Below are 16,836 nucleotides of genomic sequence, written 5' to 3' on the forward strand. Positions count from 1 at the left end.
GTCCATTATGTTATTATACAAACTCCACCTGAGGAAAATAGCCACAGGTGACTCCTTGAATATAACATTTCATGGTTTATGCCATGTGACTCTGGTACTCTCCTAATAGAGACTGAAGACCAGATATTGCTGCTGTAGCCAAGCCACCTATCTGGCTACTTGTTGGGTGACCTGACCTGAATAGACACTCAGGTAAAGTTGGATGGTAATTAACTCATGAAAGGAACATCTCTCTCAAGAGTTTTGAGTTCAAGATAATTGGAAGCAGAGTAGTAGAGAGAAAAGCAGAGAGACATAGGAAGTAATTAGTTTTTTAAATAAATATTGAATGTCTGCTATGTGCCAGGCACTGTTCTGTGATGCTCAAGATGCAGTAGTAAACAAAAGTTTGCCTTCATGGGCTTAATTCTAGCTGGGGAGACTGACTAATATATAAAGAATAATTATAGGCCTGGTGTGGTGGCTCATGCTTGTAATCCCAGTACTTTGGGAGGCTGAGGTGGGAGGATCACTTAAGCCCAGGAGCTCAAGACCAGCCTGACTAACATGTTGAGACCTGGTCTCTACAAAAAAAAAAAATAACCAAGTGTGGTGGCATGTACCTGTGGTCCCACTTACTGGGGAGGCTGAGGCAGGAGGATCACTTGAGCCTGGGAGGTCGAGGCTACAGTGAGCTGTGATTACTGCCACTGCACTCCAGCCTGGGTGACAGAATGAGATTGTGTCCTCCCCCCCAAAAAAGAACAATTTTATAATATTTTTTCAGGTAGTGATAAGTCCAGGAAGAATAATAAATTGGAGAAGGGACTAGAGTCATGTTTTAGTTTAGGTGTCCAGGGAAGGCCCCTTTTAGGAGTTAGAGGGACACTTGGATAACATAAGGAGGAAGCCATGAGATTATCTGGGAAAAGAGTAATTTCTAGGCAGAGAAAATAATATGTGGAAAAGCCTCGAGGCAAGAGTATGCTTGTCATATTTGAGGAACAGCCAGAAGAAGGCTACAATTATAAGAAGAAGGCTTCTTCTAATGGGATTTGTAGCTAATGAGATTGGGTTGTTTCTAGGGATTAGATTATATACAGCTTTACAAACCATGGTAAGAAACTCTTGTTTTATTTTAATGTAATGGAAGTCACTGGAGGGTTTTGAACAGGAAAGTGACATGGTATGATATGCATTTTAACAAGATTATTTGAGCTACTGTCTGGAGAGCTGACTGAGTTAGAGTAGAAGTAGAAAGATGGGCTAGTAGGGAATTGTAGTAGTCCAGGAAAGATGATGGTGGCTTAGAATGGGGTATTAGCTGTGGGTCATGACAGTGGTTGAATTCAGGATATATTTTGAAGCTAGAACAGACAGGATTTTTGTGTGTGTGTGGTGCGTGAGGGAAAGAGAGGGCTGAATTCCAAAAATGGCAGAATTACCATAAGACAGGCAACATATACTTGAGACAGAAGAGATCAGTATATAAGCAAGTTTTCAGGGCTCCTAGTTGGTTCCTAGAGTTGGGCTTTAAAACCACTGTTGTATCCAGAACAACAAGGAGCTGATTTTATACTTCTCTGTGTTGTCTGGGTGTATAGCAGCTGATTCGGTTTCCTGAGTTTTCTTTCTTCCCCATGTATTTGTATAGTAAATCTGTATCACTTCAGCGTACCTATATTCCCTGCAGTGCAAAAGACCCTAACTAATATAGTTTTGCTGAGTACTTCCCAGGTTCGCATATATATTATTGATGTTATAATGCTTAATCCAAAGCCTTGGCAGAATTATCAAGTATTAGACTTTAATCTCTAAAATCTCTGGTAACTCCGTTTAATCTTAATGTCTCAGGTCTTAATAATATTTTTACAAAGCAAATTTAAAAGTGTTTGGAATTAAAAAAATACCTTAATGGAGGCATGTCATGACCCTTTAAAAATTATTTAGTTATTTGAATAGTAATATGATTTAATACCCTGACAACAGGATAACCTCCTTTAGAACAAGAAATGTGTTTGTTCTCAGATACATCATTAGTGCCTTGCTTGTTATCTGACAAGCAGTAGATTTTTAATAGATCTTAAGGAATGAATAAATTGATGTATGCTAACACTTTATATATACTTTTTGTATAGAGAGCCTATCACCTTTTTTCCCTTGGTACCCTGACAGGTTTAGTGGGCTGGCACAGAACTCCTTACATTCAATGTAGTCATTGAATTAAAGGAGATATAACCGCAGAGGGTAGATTTCAACTTGTAGGAGTTAAGCCAGAAATTTATTTGGGTTTAAAATGTAGATGTCATTTGTTTACTTGAAAAAGCCCCAATTTTGTGTGTTACGTAAAAATAAGTACAACTAGAATAACAAGAGGTTAGGTTTTGTAACATCTGTGTACAAATTATTATTAGCATTGCTAATCCAAGATCTTAATCACTGGCATGATACCTATATCACCACCAGATGTGAGCTTTATGAACCTAACAGTAAATAAATGATTTAGAATAACTTTAGTATAATTTTTAAAGGAAACAAAAATGTAAACATTTTTTCCCCAAAGCTAGCTCATTGGTCCAAAGCTAGCCCATTTATAAATGAATATTTTAAAAATGTGCCATTGTGTTTCTAAATTTCAGTTTTCCTTTCATATAAAACAAAAATAGACATCCATGAATAGTAGTTGTTATGAAAACAGAATTTTAGTGGATGTACCAACATAATTAGAAAAAAATACAGAAAGATTTTCAAACAAACTCATTCCTCAAGACAAGAAACTAACTTTTGTTAACAATGGAAAGCTACCACCAGCCACATCTGTCAATGAAATGTTTTGTAGACAGGCTTGGAATAAGATATTTTAGTGGCCAAAGCCATAATTACTTTTGCAGCAACCTAACAGGTTTGAAGACTCAAATGGACTTATATACTTATAGTGAATTAAGAATATAGAAACTGCTATGTGGAGTTAGTCCACAGTTTTTCTGACCCAATATTTAGTTTCTGCTAGTTAGAACCAAGGAGCATATTGGAGGAGGCAAACATTTCTCTCCCTCATATCAATCAAACTAAATCATTGTAAATTTCCCTAAGACTTTATGATTCTATCATATTTCACTTTAAATAATTTTGAAGATATTTATATCATCAGTTTGTACGTTCTTGGAAGGAATGAATCCCATGTATTTACTACTTCTTACTATTGTAATTCTTTCTTTAAAAAAATTAATTATTCATTGTTGCCATGAAAGTCAGGGTCCAGACTATCTTATACTTTGCCCTCTCTTCAAGTCTTGGCAGTAAGTTTATTTTAATTTTTAATTTTTTAATAGACAGGGTCTTGGTCTGCTCCCCAGGCTGGAATGCAGTAGCACAATCATGCTCAATGCAGCCTGGAACTCCTGGGCTCAAGTGATCCTCCTGCCTCAGCTTCCTAAGTAAAAAAAATTAAAAACAATTTTTTTTAGAGATAGGGTCTTACTGTGTTGACCAGGCTGGCCTTGAACTCCTCATCTCAAGCGACCCTCTCACCTTGACCTCCTAAACTGTTGGGATTACAGGTGTGAGCCACCACGTCAAGCCTTGAGAATAAGTTTAATACTTTGTACTAACTTTGAAAGCCTTTGTAAAACTGATTACCAATTTCCTTACCTACTTATCACGAGGAAAGTTGGCATTACTAATTTGTTACCATTTGAACATGATCATTGAATATATATATATATAAATATATGAATAAATAAATAAAATATATGATATATAGTGGCCAAATACATATAACATAAAATTCACCATTTTAATAATGTTAAAGTACCCAATTCAGTTACATTTAGTACATTCACAATGTTGTGCAACCATCTCTAAGGTCCAGAACATCTTCATTATTCCCAAAGGAAACCCCATACCTGTTAAGTATTAACTTCTCATTTCTCTCTCTCCACAAACCCTGGCAACCATTAGCCTGCTATCTGTATTTGTGGATTTACCTATTCTGGATCTTTCACGTAAATGATATTATATAATACATGGCCTTTTGTGTCTGGCTTCTTTCACTTAGCAAATTGTTTTCAGGTTCATTCATGTTGTAGCATGTGTCAGTATTTCATTCCTTTTTATGGCTGAGTAATATTGCATTGTATGGATGTATCACATTTTATTTATCCATTCTTTTGCTGGTGGACATTTGGGTTGTTTCCACCTTTTGGCTATTGTGAATAGTGCTGCTATGAACATTTGTGCATGAGATTTCTTTTTGAACACCGATTTTCAGTTTATTTGGGCATATATCTAGGAGTGAAATTGTGGGGTTCATATGGTAATTCTATGTTTAACTTTTTGAGGAACCACACAAAATTGTTTTCTACAGTGTGGACACCACTTTACATTTTCACAGTAATGCATGAGGTTTCTTTCCACTTTCACACATCCTTGTCAACACTTACATTCTTTTTCTTTAAAAAAAATTTTTTGTAGCCATCCTAATGTTTTTGAAGTATTATCTTACTGCAGCTTTGATTTACGTTTCTCTAATGCCTAACAGGGTTGAGCATCTTTTCATGTGTTTGTTGGTCATTTGTATATTTTCTTTGAAGAAATGTCTATCCAAGTCCTTTGCCCATTTTGTAATTGAGTTTTGTGTCTTATTGTTGTTGAGTTTTAAGAGTTCTTTAAATATTCTGGGTGTTAGACTCTTATCAGATATATGATTTTCAAATATTTTCTCCCATTCCGTGAGTTGTCTTTCCACTCTGTTGATAATGTCCTTTAATACACACACATTTAAAATTTTTATAAAGTCCAATTTATCTATTATTTCTTTAGTTTCTTGTGTTTTTGGTGTCATATCTAAGAATCTATTGCCAAATTCAAGACCATGAAGATTTGTCCTTATGTTTTCTTCTAAGAGTTTGTAATTTTAGCTCCTATATTTAGGTCTTTGATACATTTTGAGTTAATTTTTGTATATGGTGTGAGGTTAGGTTCCAACATTGTTCTTTTGCATGTGGGTATCTAATTGTCTCAGCACCATTTGTTGAAGAGACTACACTTTCCCCATTGAGTGGTTCTGGTACCCTTGTCAAAAATCGGTTGACCATAGATACATGGGTTTATCTATGCACCCATCAATTCAATTTCATTGATGTGTATGTCTGTTTTCCTACCTGTACCACTGTTTTGATTATGGTAATTTCATAGTTTTGAAATCAGGAAACTTGAGTCCCCCAACTTTCTTTTTCTTTTTCAAGATTGTTTTGGCTGTTTGGGGTTCCTTGGGATTTCATATAAATTTGGGAAGAGCTTTTCCATTTCTGCAGTAAAGGCTGTTGGGATTTTGATAGGGATCACATCGAATCTGTAGATTATTTTAGGGGAGTATTGTCATCTTAATAATATTAAATCTTCCAATTCACAAGCACAGAATGCCTTTTCTTTTCTTTCTTTATTTTTTTTTTTTGAGATGGAGTTTCACTCTTGTCACCCAGGCTGGAGTGCAATAGTGTGATCTTGGCTCACTGCAACCTCTGCCTCCTGGGTTCAAGTGATTCTTTTGTCTCAGCCTCCTGAGTAGCTGGGATTACAGATGCCCACCACCACACTCAGCTAATTTTTGTATTTTTAGCAGAGACGGGGTTTCACCATGTTGGCCAGGCTGGTCTCGAGCTCTTGACCTCAGGTGATCCACTCGCCTTGGCCTCCCAAAGTGCTGGGATTGCAGGTGTGAGCCCAGAATGCCTTTTCTTCTGCTGTATGGAGGTATAATTAACAAATAAAAAAAAAGATGTACAGTGTGATGTTTTGGTGTGTGTATACATTGTGAAATGTTTACTGCAATTAAACTAATCAACATCTTTATTTCACATAGTTGCCCTCTTTTTTTGTGAGACTAAAAGTTTACTTTCTTAGCAAACTTCAAGTATGCAACACATGATTATTAACCATGGCCACCATGCCTTACATTAGATTCTAGAACTTACTCATCCTAACTGAAACTTAGTACCCCTTGACCAACATCTCCCCATTTCTCCCACCCTTAGTGGCAACCACAATTCCACTCTCTGCTTCTATAAGTTTGACATTTTTAGATTCCACATATAAGTGAGCTCATGCAGTGTCTGTTTTCCTGTACTTAGCTTTTTTTATTTAGCATAATATCCTACAGGTTCATGTTACAAATGACAGAATTTCCTTCTTTTCTTTTTTTTTTTGTTGTAGCAACACATTTTAATGAGCAGTGTTTTTATTCAAGCTATATAAAGACATTTATACATAAGTACATACATTCATTTAAAATATATATAAAGTTCATTTAGAACAGGCAATTTGTTTGCTTATGATCTACATTCACAGAGGGGGAAAAAGTACATTTATTAAAAACAGGTACCACACATCTATATTCACCAAATTGCGTTGGTTTAAAAAAGTATTAACTTGACATACATTGCATCCATGTTTATTGTGCTACTTGCGCAAAGGAATAAAATTGTTTACTGAATTATGTTTAGCTCTTTATTCATTTAACAAGTTCATTTAAATAAGTTCAATATTCCATAAATGACAAGCAGCTTAAATACAAGTTTGATAACTATCATTAAAAAAGTAATAAAATCAAAGTCAGTGAAATTTTCAACAAGACAGCGTAACATCCATCACTAACCTGACTAAAAGGCCGCACTCGCACTGCTACTTTCACACTGTCAACACTTGGCGTAGGCATTTTCACCAATTTCTCATTATCTGTATTATTTGGTAGAAAAATAAATGCAGAAAGCACACTGCATATGCTTCACATTAAAATATTAAAAGCTTAGCCCACGAAAGCAGTTCGTTTCTAGATGATCAATTATTAATAGTCCATTCATTACACACTATCAATTACCTGTTATAAATTATTTTACAACACTTATTTATTGATGAGTGTTAGAGCCTACATCAAGTACCATTGCTTAATTGCACACAGTTGTACTGTAGAGAACAGGGCGTGTGTTGTTTTTCTCCTTTTCTACATCTACTCACTCTCTCCCAACCTTAATAATCTGTGCCTGAGGTCCTGTGAGAATTTGCCAGTTTTAAAACCTGAATATTAAGGGATTTCTGTGGTTCAGTAGCAAGCTCCTTCACAACAATATTATAAAAATTTGTTCAGACATCTCATCCTATCAATATTAGGCACATACAAGATGCACTCAATATCCATAAACAGATTTATTTTACATTTCCCTTTGTCAAATCCTTTGATAAGGTTGCAAGTGAGCAGTGAACCGGTCAATATAACCTGGATTAGTCTTTGACTAATTAAGACTTTAAAGAGCCTTTAAGCTTGCCGAATAAGAGATGCCAACATTATAGTTAACCAATACTTGGATTATTCATTTGAGGTAGATTGCACAAAATTTGTGAAACTACAAAGATGGCAAAATTACATGCCCATAATTCAATTTTAACATAGTAACAGCCAAAAACAAAAAAATACATTTTATGATTAGAAATCTGAATCACAGAATCAAAGTGCATAAATTATAAAATAGTAACTGTAAAAAGAAACATCAATACTTCAATCATCCCCATTTTAAGACTGGTCTAGTATTTTAATTATAGAGAAAATGAGACCAATGAGCATATAAAACTATTTAAACAGATATCCCCTCCCTTTCAAAAATCCAAGACACAAACGACTGTGAAGTATACATTTCATTTAACATTCCATTAATAAGCCATATTTACATATATAAACGTATGAAGTCTTAATATAAAATAGAAAAATTGCCTGGACTGAAACAATCACTCCATATGGAGTTACTTTACTTATTGAAGACCTTCTGTTTACATACAAATTTACAATAATTTATATAAATTATTTTCTTCCAAACTAGATATTTAATAATCCACACTATTCTGATGACTTTACAAATAGGTGTACATTAAAAACTTCCCAAGAAATTACAGCATTTTTCTGCGTAAAATTTGCTTTGGATAGGAAGACAGTTTCTTTCTGTTCCTTCCAAGACCTGTTCCTGTCACTTCTGTAGTTTTTCTTGGTTTGCTCTTGACTCCGTCAACTGGGCTAGCCAAGGGGGAAATCAGCCGAATTTCTACGGCAGGAGGTGACCAAGCACTTTCTTTTTCTGTGTTTTTGCTTGTTTTGTTTTTGACGTCCTGATTCCTTTCGCTTTTGGCTTTCCCACAGTTTCTACTGATTGTGCATCATCTTTCAGTTCATCTTCAAGCTTGTTCTTATTGGATGTGTTTTTTTGTCTGCTCCTTAAAGCAGGAGGTGAGATGACAAACTGAGAAGATAAATCCGAAACTAATTCTTTCAGCTGTGCAGGAACCTCTATTTTTTTAGCTTTTGCTTTCTTGGAACTTCTGCCGCTGGAGAAAATAAAGGCTCATTGTTTGGTTCAGAAAGGTCCGGCAACAAGATGGCCTTGCTAGACTGAGTCCTGGTGCTGCGGGATGATTTAGTGAAGGAAGCTGTGGCGAGCAATCTTTCTTCCTGCTCATTTGTTTCTTTATGTGTCATTTCATCTGTGCGTTCTTCTGATACTGAGTGCAATGAACGTTTTTGACTTTGACTTTCAGTCTTTTTTGTAAGTTTTTTCTTAGAGCTCATCACCATCGAAAGTTCCTCGTTTGGCACTAAAATGGATTTTCCTAAAGCTGGTTTTCCAACATCAACATTTTCACTTTTAGCTGGGGTATTTCTTGTAGATCTCCTTTTAATGCTGGGAGCCTCTTTCTTCTTGGGGCTTCTCTCTTCCTTAACAGCCTTAGATCCTACATCTTCAGATGGATTGATTTTTCTTGGTCTACCACGTTTTCTAGGTATGGCAGACATATCAAATTCTGCTTGAAGAGTCAACTGAGATGACTCAAGGTTGGAGTTTTCTCTCACATCTGATGGACTAACTTCTCTCCCTCTGACCCTTCTAATATGTTTAATAGGCAGCTGCTTGTCACTGGATTTATCTTCTTGCTTATTTCCTGTATTTTCAGAAGCATCTAAATGAGCACTTCTCAATTTTCTGATCATTCTGCTAGGACTTGTTACCGTACTAACTTTTAGATCATTTATAATTTCAACACTTTCCTGATTTTCTACAGATCTTTTAATTGTTCTAGGAGTCCTTTTTGTAACAGATGAAACCTTAACTTCTTTTTTAGTAGTTTCTTCAACTGCTGGTTCCAACAGCTGAGATGATTTTAATCTTTTTGATTCCCTACCTGTAGTGATCTGTAATTCTTGTTCCACAGAACTGGTGTTTTCTAGTATGTCCTGATTAACTTCTTTCTTTCTCCTTCCTCTCCTAGGCGTAACAGAATTTTGAGGTATTTGCTGGTTCTGAGATAGTCCTCTGACATCAGAATAGATGTTTTCAGAAGCTTCAGAAATTTCTTTTGCCTTCCTAGTTTTCTTCTTGACTGACTGCCCTGGCATCTTAGGAGTAGCAACATCTGCTGATGCTTCCTGTTGTGCTGATTTGACATTCACGTTTTGGATACGTTGACCTCTCGTACGAGTTTTGGAGGAAACCACGTCATCAACCTGGCTGACATTCATAGTCATTGTGCTTGTTTCCTGAGCAGTCTTAAATGCAGATTTGACTAATTTAGTGGGACACATTATGTTTTGGCTCACTAAAGGTATTGTTTCATGAATGGACTGTTCCATTGTATCTGAAGTAATTTCTTTACTTCTTGTGTCTTTAATTACGTCTAGCAAATTTTCTGCAATTGCTACTTTAATAGGTTCAGGCACATATGGTAAAGTCTCTACTTTTTGGGACTTTTGGTCACTAGTTACAGCAGATGGCAAATTTGCAACTTGTCCATGATTATCATTTTTCCCACTGCATACAAGTTTTTCTTCAGTTGCTGTGTTAGCTGCTTTAGGTAACACATCAGATGATGCAAAATCACCTGGCTCAACTTCTCCTTCTTCACCTTCCAATATCAAGGTAAAGTTGCTTGGAGCCACAAAAAGTTCCCCATCTACTTCAGCAATGTCACATTCAGCAGTGTCTTTATTATCAGCTAAGTCACAAAACTGTTGGTCAATAGTATCAAAATTGTACTGAAGCTTAAGTGTTCCAGAGGGATATAACTCATTAAATGAAAGATTCCTAGCCTCTTCTCCTGAATCTTGAGCTTCAAGCTTTTCCTGTTCAATCACATGAATTTCTTGAGTATCAGGAGGGCTGTCAGAAATTGGAAGCTTTTCTTCTGGTAAGTCAACACTTTCTTTTAGTACACCAACTTCTACTTCATGATCTTCTTTTAAGTTCAGCGCTACTTCCTGGTTAAGCCTGCGCTCAGAGACAATAGGACCTTCAGAGATAGTGAGTGAGGAGTTTCCACCATCACCAAGGACATCAGCCATAGATTTATTGTCATTTGCTCTAATTGCAGAGGTGTAGGTTTCAACAGATGTTAATCCTTCATCCAACACTGGTACCTTGGACTTCTGGGTGAAGATTTTCCCTTCATAGACTGATGGTGCACAAAGAGAAGCTTCAGTTCCTTGAACTGGGCTTAAGTGATTCAATTCTGAAAATGCCTCTGCTGCAACTAAGAGATCCTTGTTTCTGCATCTTCTAAATTGCCCATTTGTTTCTGTAGGTCTGAAGGAGTTACTTCTGATGCAAATACATCTTTATCTCCATCCTTTTCAGTTTGTTCAGTTACATTAGTAGTTAGTGCAGTGGAAGAGCTTTTGGGCTTAGAGGCCGTGAAAACAGTCTCTTCAAGGTCTTCCGGTGACAGTGCATCCTGATACTCTAAGGTAGTCTCATCGGATGTGATTGAAACACTGCTGTTTCCTTTGCTCACATCCAGTTTCTCTAAACTTTGTGACCCCACATCCATTTCTTGATGCTCCTTTTCAGGGCTGTTCAGGAAAAAAGATGTGGTCCTATCTTTGCTCTTCAGCCATTCAGTTTCCACTGGAACTGCACATTTTTTAGGTGTAGTAAATACTTCTAATTTGCTATCATCTGCAGCCCCAGGAATCCACTTTGGGTGGACATCTTCTTCCACAAATGAAATTCTAGTTTCTTTAAGTCGTTGAGGAGACCTTCCAGGTGATGGAGAGGGAGATGCTAAAGGTGTTGATCGAAGAGTAGACCTCAGGATGGACTGAGGAGTGAACTCAGAAAATCCAGAAGTAGTAACTGACATGGCCAAACTTTTAGCTTTGTTAACTACAAGAGGAGTTTCAAGCAAATGTAATTCTGAAGCCCTGGAGATGGCCTGAGGCGATCCTTTTAATTGTGAACTTGAGGGCAGTGAACGGGATACTAGGTACAAAGGAGATTTCATGGAGCTTTGCTGAATAAACTCCGAACACTGAGAAGGCCGGGGGACAGGCTGAACAACCAAATCTAGCAGTCTAGAAATTTTTTGTGATGCTTTTGAAATTGGTGTTCCAAAAAATGCCTCAGGCAGCTCTGGAGCTGGGAGCGAATACACTATAGGAGATGGTTCTTCTATTTTAGAACTATTGAAAGGTGTGGTGCTATTTATAGGTTCTTTGCTTGCCCAAACTTCTCCAATTTTAGATAACACATTGTTGATGAAAACAGATCTTGTCAACACAGTTCCTGTTACAACTTGCTTTGGAACTGCTGATAATGGTTTGGGTCTAGAAACTAATCGAAAAACTGATGATGTTGACAGATGATAAGGCTTAGCTCGTTCAATGGCTAATTTTCGATGGACTCTAGGAAGGATTTTTCCATACTGGTCTAATATAGAATTTCGAGCCAGTGATCTCTCCCGCAAACGAGGATCACGATCATTCATAACATTAATCTTCAGAGTTTGGTTCAGCTTCAAGGGAGGCACATAATTGGCATGCTGCAAATGGTGCACTAAAAGGAATTCATGACTCTGAATGCTGGCACTGGACTGCAAAAATTTCACTAAACATTCCTGCTCAGTGTCTGTAAATGGTAACTTCAGTAAATCTTCCATCAAGCCCATTTCCTGACAGACTTCATACATGTGCTTCAGTAACTCCTCTATATTCAACCTATTGCAATGTTGCCGCAAAAAATTCCAGGCTTCAACCATGCACCTACTAAAAAGCAAAACAGTGAGGTGAAGGATAACATCGCTACCACTGGACACTGTTGGCTTCATTGTCTGAATATATCTGAGGGCTTGTCTGTGCTCGCCCTGACTCATGAATGCCTGAATAATCTTTGAATGTTGCCATGACAAAGGTTTTGCAGTAGCTGGATGAAACAAAAGATCCAAACCACTCTCATAGTCATTATGATCTATCAACCAAAACCCTGAATAAGTTTAACTTGGCCCCAAGAAATGGCAAATACAGTTGGGAAAGATTCAATGGGAGTGTCTGTTTTGTTGGGAAAGGAATACATAATATCAAGTAGCAAATAAATGGTAATAGAGTGTTTGGCTGCTTCAGTAACGCCATCTAATAGGTACATATCAAGTACTGCATGCAGACTAGCAGGAGGATATTTTCCTGTGCCTCCTTCATCTCGTTTCCACAACTTCTCAATTCGCTCTCCTAACTGAGAAACCAGTCCATCAATCATCAAGCAATCGGGATTCCACTTCCCTCTTGATAAACGCTCAAACTTCTGTCGACGACTGGTGTAGTAGTTCTGAATTACAGGGTAGTTGTAGCATAACCTTGACAACTGCACAGAATCATCTATGCCTTCTGGTAAAAGCCCAGAATGAGAGAACCAAAGAACCACTTGTGCATACTGACAGATGAGGTGGGAAACCACAAACTTATTGCTTAAGTCTATCAGTCCTCTCTCAGTGATCTCTCGGGCTTCTGATGCAAAACAGCTCAAGACTATATTAAGATTGCTAAGAAGCAAATAGCATTGCTGGATAGACTGTATAGTTTGTGGATCCATGAAATGACACGAACCATCAAATAATGGCACACATAGTCTGTCAAATTCCTCTTTTGTGAGAACCACTTTATTCCACGTCCATTCAAGAACAAAGCGCAAATTAGTGGCAGAATTTGGTTGTTCTTCTGTTATCCATCTTCGGATATAACCAGTCAAAAGTCCCAGGGAACTAGTCTGAATTGCTGTTGACAATATAGCTTCTAACTGTTCTTCTTGGCTTAAACTGGAAGGCTGAACATCAACAAAACTTGGGGAAAGAAGGCCAGCTACAAGACGTCGATTATAACCACCAGGAATGAGTTCATTGAGTGATGGACCTGATTTCTTTAAAAAAGTCAAAGTCTCCTTCTGAAAGCCAGTACAAGTTAAATGAACAACTCCCGAGTTTAACAAACAAGTGGCATCAAAATTATAAGTGCTTGGGTTAAAAAACTGCTCGGGAGGTGGATATGAAGGAGGGACTCCTCTATTTAAACTTCTCTCATGTACTAATATATCCAAGATGCCATGTGGAGAAGTCCTACTTACAACAGACTCCAATGACCACAGTGCAAAATAAGAGCAATTATGTAGATATTCTCCTGACCTTAACGAATCTGGCATTTGTGCATGATACCAACGATTTATATCAAAAAGCCCCAAATATACAGAAGGCTTTCCCTGTCCATATATATTCACCTGCCAGGTAAAGACTGAAACACTAGTGTCAGGCGATAGAGCTTCATTCACGCCTTCCTCCCTGTCACCATGAGATCGAAATTTCTCTATACTCTGGCATCCCAACAATTTGGTATTACTCGTCTGTCCCCTCAAAGGGAACATGCCACCTGTCAGGTCCAGAGTGTATCTTTCTTCACAGTATTCTAACCACTCATATAAGATTTGTCCTGATGCCAAACACTTTCTATTACCAAAGGCCAGCTGCAGTAGATGCAAACTCAAAACATCCCCTTCACTATCTTGTGTAGACTGAACAGCCCACAAGTAGCAGCAATTCCGACGATCATTCTCAGGTTCTTGAAAAGTGACAGCATATACAGGAACTTGTCCACTTTCCAATTGTATGTAATATTCTCTTTTCATGCTTTTCATGTTCCAAAGTGCTAGATAGCCATCAGAAAAACCTGCAGCAAGCTGATTTGTCCTGCTTATGTAACTAAGAGTTGAAACGGCTGTTCCTGTTGGACTTACTAACTGGAAACACAGATGGCGCCCTTCTCTCATCACACTTTCTCTAATGTGTGGTACTTCAGCTGGGATACCAGTTAGAACTTCAAGATCTGATGCTTCAACTTCATTTTGATTGCATGACAAGTCATCCAAACATAGGTCAATAAGAAGGATCTGTCCAACATCAGTGACCACAGCTGCCACTCCAAAAAGCCATCGCAGACTTGGATGTAAATGCTGAGTGCTTGCACTGGCTCCTCCATGATTAATTATAGGTTCAATAGCTGTTACCCTTCCAGGAAGAACAACTGCTTTAACTACTTTTGATATTCCAAGGTCATAAAGACAGAGAACACTCCCTTCTGTTTCTTCCAATCCTATTAATAATCCAGTTCTCTTCTGCCAAGAGAATTCTTTCACAGCTAAAACTACAGGAGGCTGTTCATTGACTCCACTGAATCTGTAAGCAGACAATCGCTCTCCTGTTATAGAGTTTACTACCTCAAGTTGTGGACCACAAGCCAAGCAAGCAAGTCCATTTTTCCCCGCAGCAAACTTTCCACGAAGCACAGATTCTAATGTTATTTCGTCTTCTCCAAGGGCTTGAAGAGTCACTTCTGGAAATGGCAGGAGACCACTAGTCACTTGAGCTCTTAAGTCTCGCATACTTCCACAGCGCCGTTCCGCCGCCATGTGCCACCGCTCCTCCGGTCCGAGATTATGTAACGAAGCCCGGCGCCCGCGAGCCTGCCGTACCCGCCACCGCCAGCGCTCGCCCCCTCGAGCCCCATCCGTTGGCCCCGCGCACGCCCGGCCTAGGCCCGGCGCTCGCGGGGCAGAACCCCCGCCGCCGCCGCCGCCGCGGGCCCAGGCCGCGCCTCCTTCTTTTCAAAGTCTGAATGATATTTCTTTTTTTTTTTTTTTTTTTTTTTTTTGAGACAGAGTCTCGCTCTGTCGCCCAGGCTGGAATGCAGTGGCGTGATTTCTGCTCACTGCAAGCTCCGCCTCCTGGGTTCACGCCATTCTCCTGCCTCAGCCTCCGGAGTAGCTGGGACTACAGGCGCCCGTCACCACGCCCGGCTAATTTTTTGTATTTTTAGTAGAGACGGAGTTTCACCACGTTAGCCAGGATGGTCTCAATCTCCTGACCTCGTGATCCGCCCGCCTCAGCCTCCCAAAGTAAGGCCGAATGATATTTCATTATATATGTGTGTATCACATTTTCTTTCTTTTTTTTTTTTTTTTTGAGACACCGTCTTGCTCTGTTGGCCAGGCTGGAGTGCAGTGGTATGATCTTGTCTCTCTGCAACCTCCACCTCCCAGGTTCAAAGTGATTCTTCGGCCTTAGCCACATGAGTAGCTGGAATTAGAGGCATGCACCACCAGGGTTTCATCATGTTCGCCAGGCTGGTCTCAAACTCCTGGCCTCAAGGGACCCACCTGCCTCGGCCTCCCAAAGTGCTGGGATTACAGGCATGAGCCACCATGTCCAGCCTACATTTTCTTCATCTATTCAGCAGCAAACACTTTGTTTCCATGTCTTGGCTATTGTGAATAATGTTGCAATGAACATGGGAGTGCAGTTATCTCTTTGGGATAGTGATTTTATTCTTTTGGATATATACCCAGAAGTAGGACTGCTTGATTGTATGATAGTTCTTTTTTATTTTTTAACTTTGTGAGAAACCTCCATACTGTTTTCCGTACTGGTTGTACCAGTCTATATTTCCACCAACAATATATATGGGTTCTTTTTTTTTCTCCACATTCTGGACAGCACTTATCTTTTGACTTTTTGATACATAAATAGTTATTCTAACACTTGTGAGGTGATATACTATTGTGGTTTTGATTTGCATTTCTCTGATGACTAGTGATGTTAGGCACCTTTTCATATACCTATTGGCCATTTATGTCTTCTTTGAAACAATGTCTATTCAAGTTCTTTGTCCATTGAAAATACTGAGTTATTTGTTTTCTTGCAATTGAGTTGTATGAGTTCCTTATATATTTTGGATATTAAGCCCTTATCAGATATGTAGTTTGAAAATATTTTCTCCTATTATGCATGTTACCTTTTCATTTTGTTGATTATTCCCTTTGCTGTGGAAAAACTTTTTCTTTTGATGTAGTTGCACTAGCTTATTTTTGCTTTCATTAACTGTGTTTTTGGTGTGATATCCAAAAACTCATTGCCAATACCAATGTCATGGAGCTTCCCACCATATTTTCTCCTAGTAGTTTTACAGTTTCAGGTCTTACAGTTAAATCTGTAATCTATTTTGGGTTGATTTTTGTGTATGGTGTAAGATAAGGATCCAATTTCTTTTTTTTTGCATGTGAATACCCAGTTTTCCAAACCTAATTAATTGAACAGATTATCCTTTTCCCATTGTTTATTATTGCTGCCTCTGTAGAAGAATATTTGAGTGTATATGCATGGGTTTATTTCTGGGCTTTCTATTCTGTTCCATTAGAGTATGTGTCTGTTTTTATACCAAGACCGTACATAGTGTTTTGATTACTATAGCTTTGTAATATAATTTGAAATCAGCAAGTGTGATGCCTTCAGCTTTGTTCTTTTTGCTCAAGATTGCTTTGACTGTTGGAGTCTTTTATGGTTCTATATGAATTCTAGGTTTGTTTTTATATTGCTGTGAAAAATTACATTGGAATTTTGATTGAATCTGTAGATTAGATTATTTTGGGTAGTATGGATATTTTATGGTATTGGTTCTTATGATCATAGATATTTTTCCTTATTTGTGTCTTCAGTTTCTTTCATCAATGT

At 38.1% G+C, this 16,836-nt stretch overlaps 1 pseudogene across 1 annotated transcript, besides 1 other annotated feature; it reads right to left on the bottom strand.

Annotated features, from left to right (window-relative positions):
* Nucleotides 1–6,099: 6,099 nt before the first annotated feature.
* On the bottom strand, nt 6,100–14,935 carry AHCTF1P1 (AT-hook containing transcription factor 1 pseudogene 1; annotated as a pseudogene). Its single transcript, NR_077058.1, has one exon. The product of NR_077058.1 is annotated as an AT-hook containing transcription factor 1 pseudogene 1 (transcript).
* Nucleotides 8,213–8,282: an enhancer, noted in NCBI's record as "active region_16714". NCBI's record gives its function as "activates an Ori minimal core promoter by ATAC-STARR-seq in GM12878 lymphoblastoid cells {active_cell/tissue: GM12878}" and the evidence as "EXISTENCE:reporter gene assay evidence [ECO:0000049][PMID:35858748]".
* Nucleotides 14,936–16,836: the final 1,901 nt, after the last annotated feature.

The sequence above is a fragment of the Homo sapiens genome, chromosome 2 (assembly GCF_000001405.40).
Source record: "Homo sapiens chromosome 2, GRCh38.p14 Primary Assembly".
Classification (NCBI taxonomy): Eukaryota; Metazoa; Chordata; class Mammalia; order Primates; family Hominidae; genus Homo; species Homo sapiens.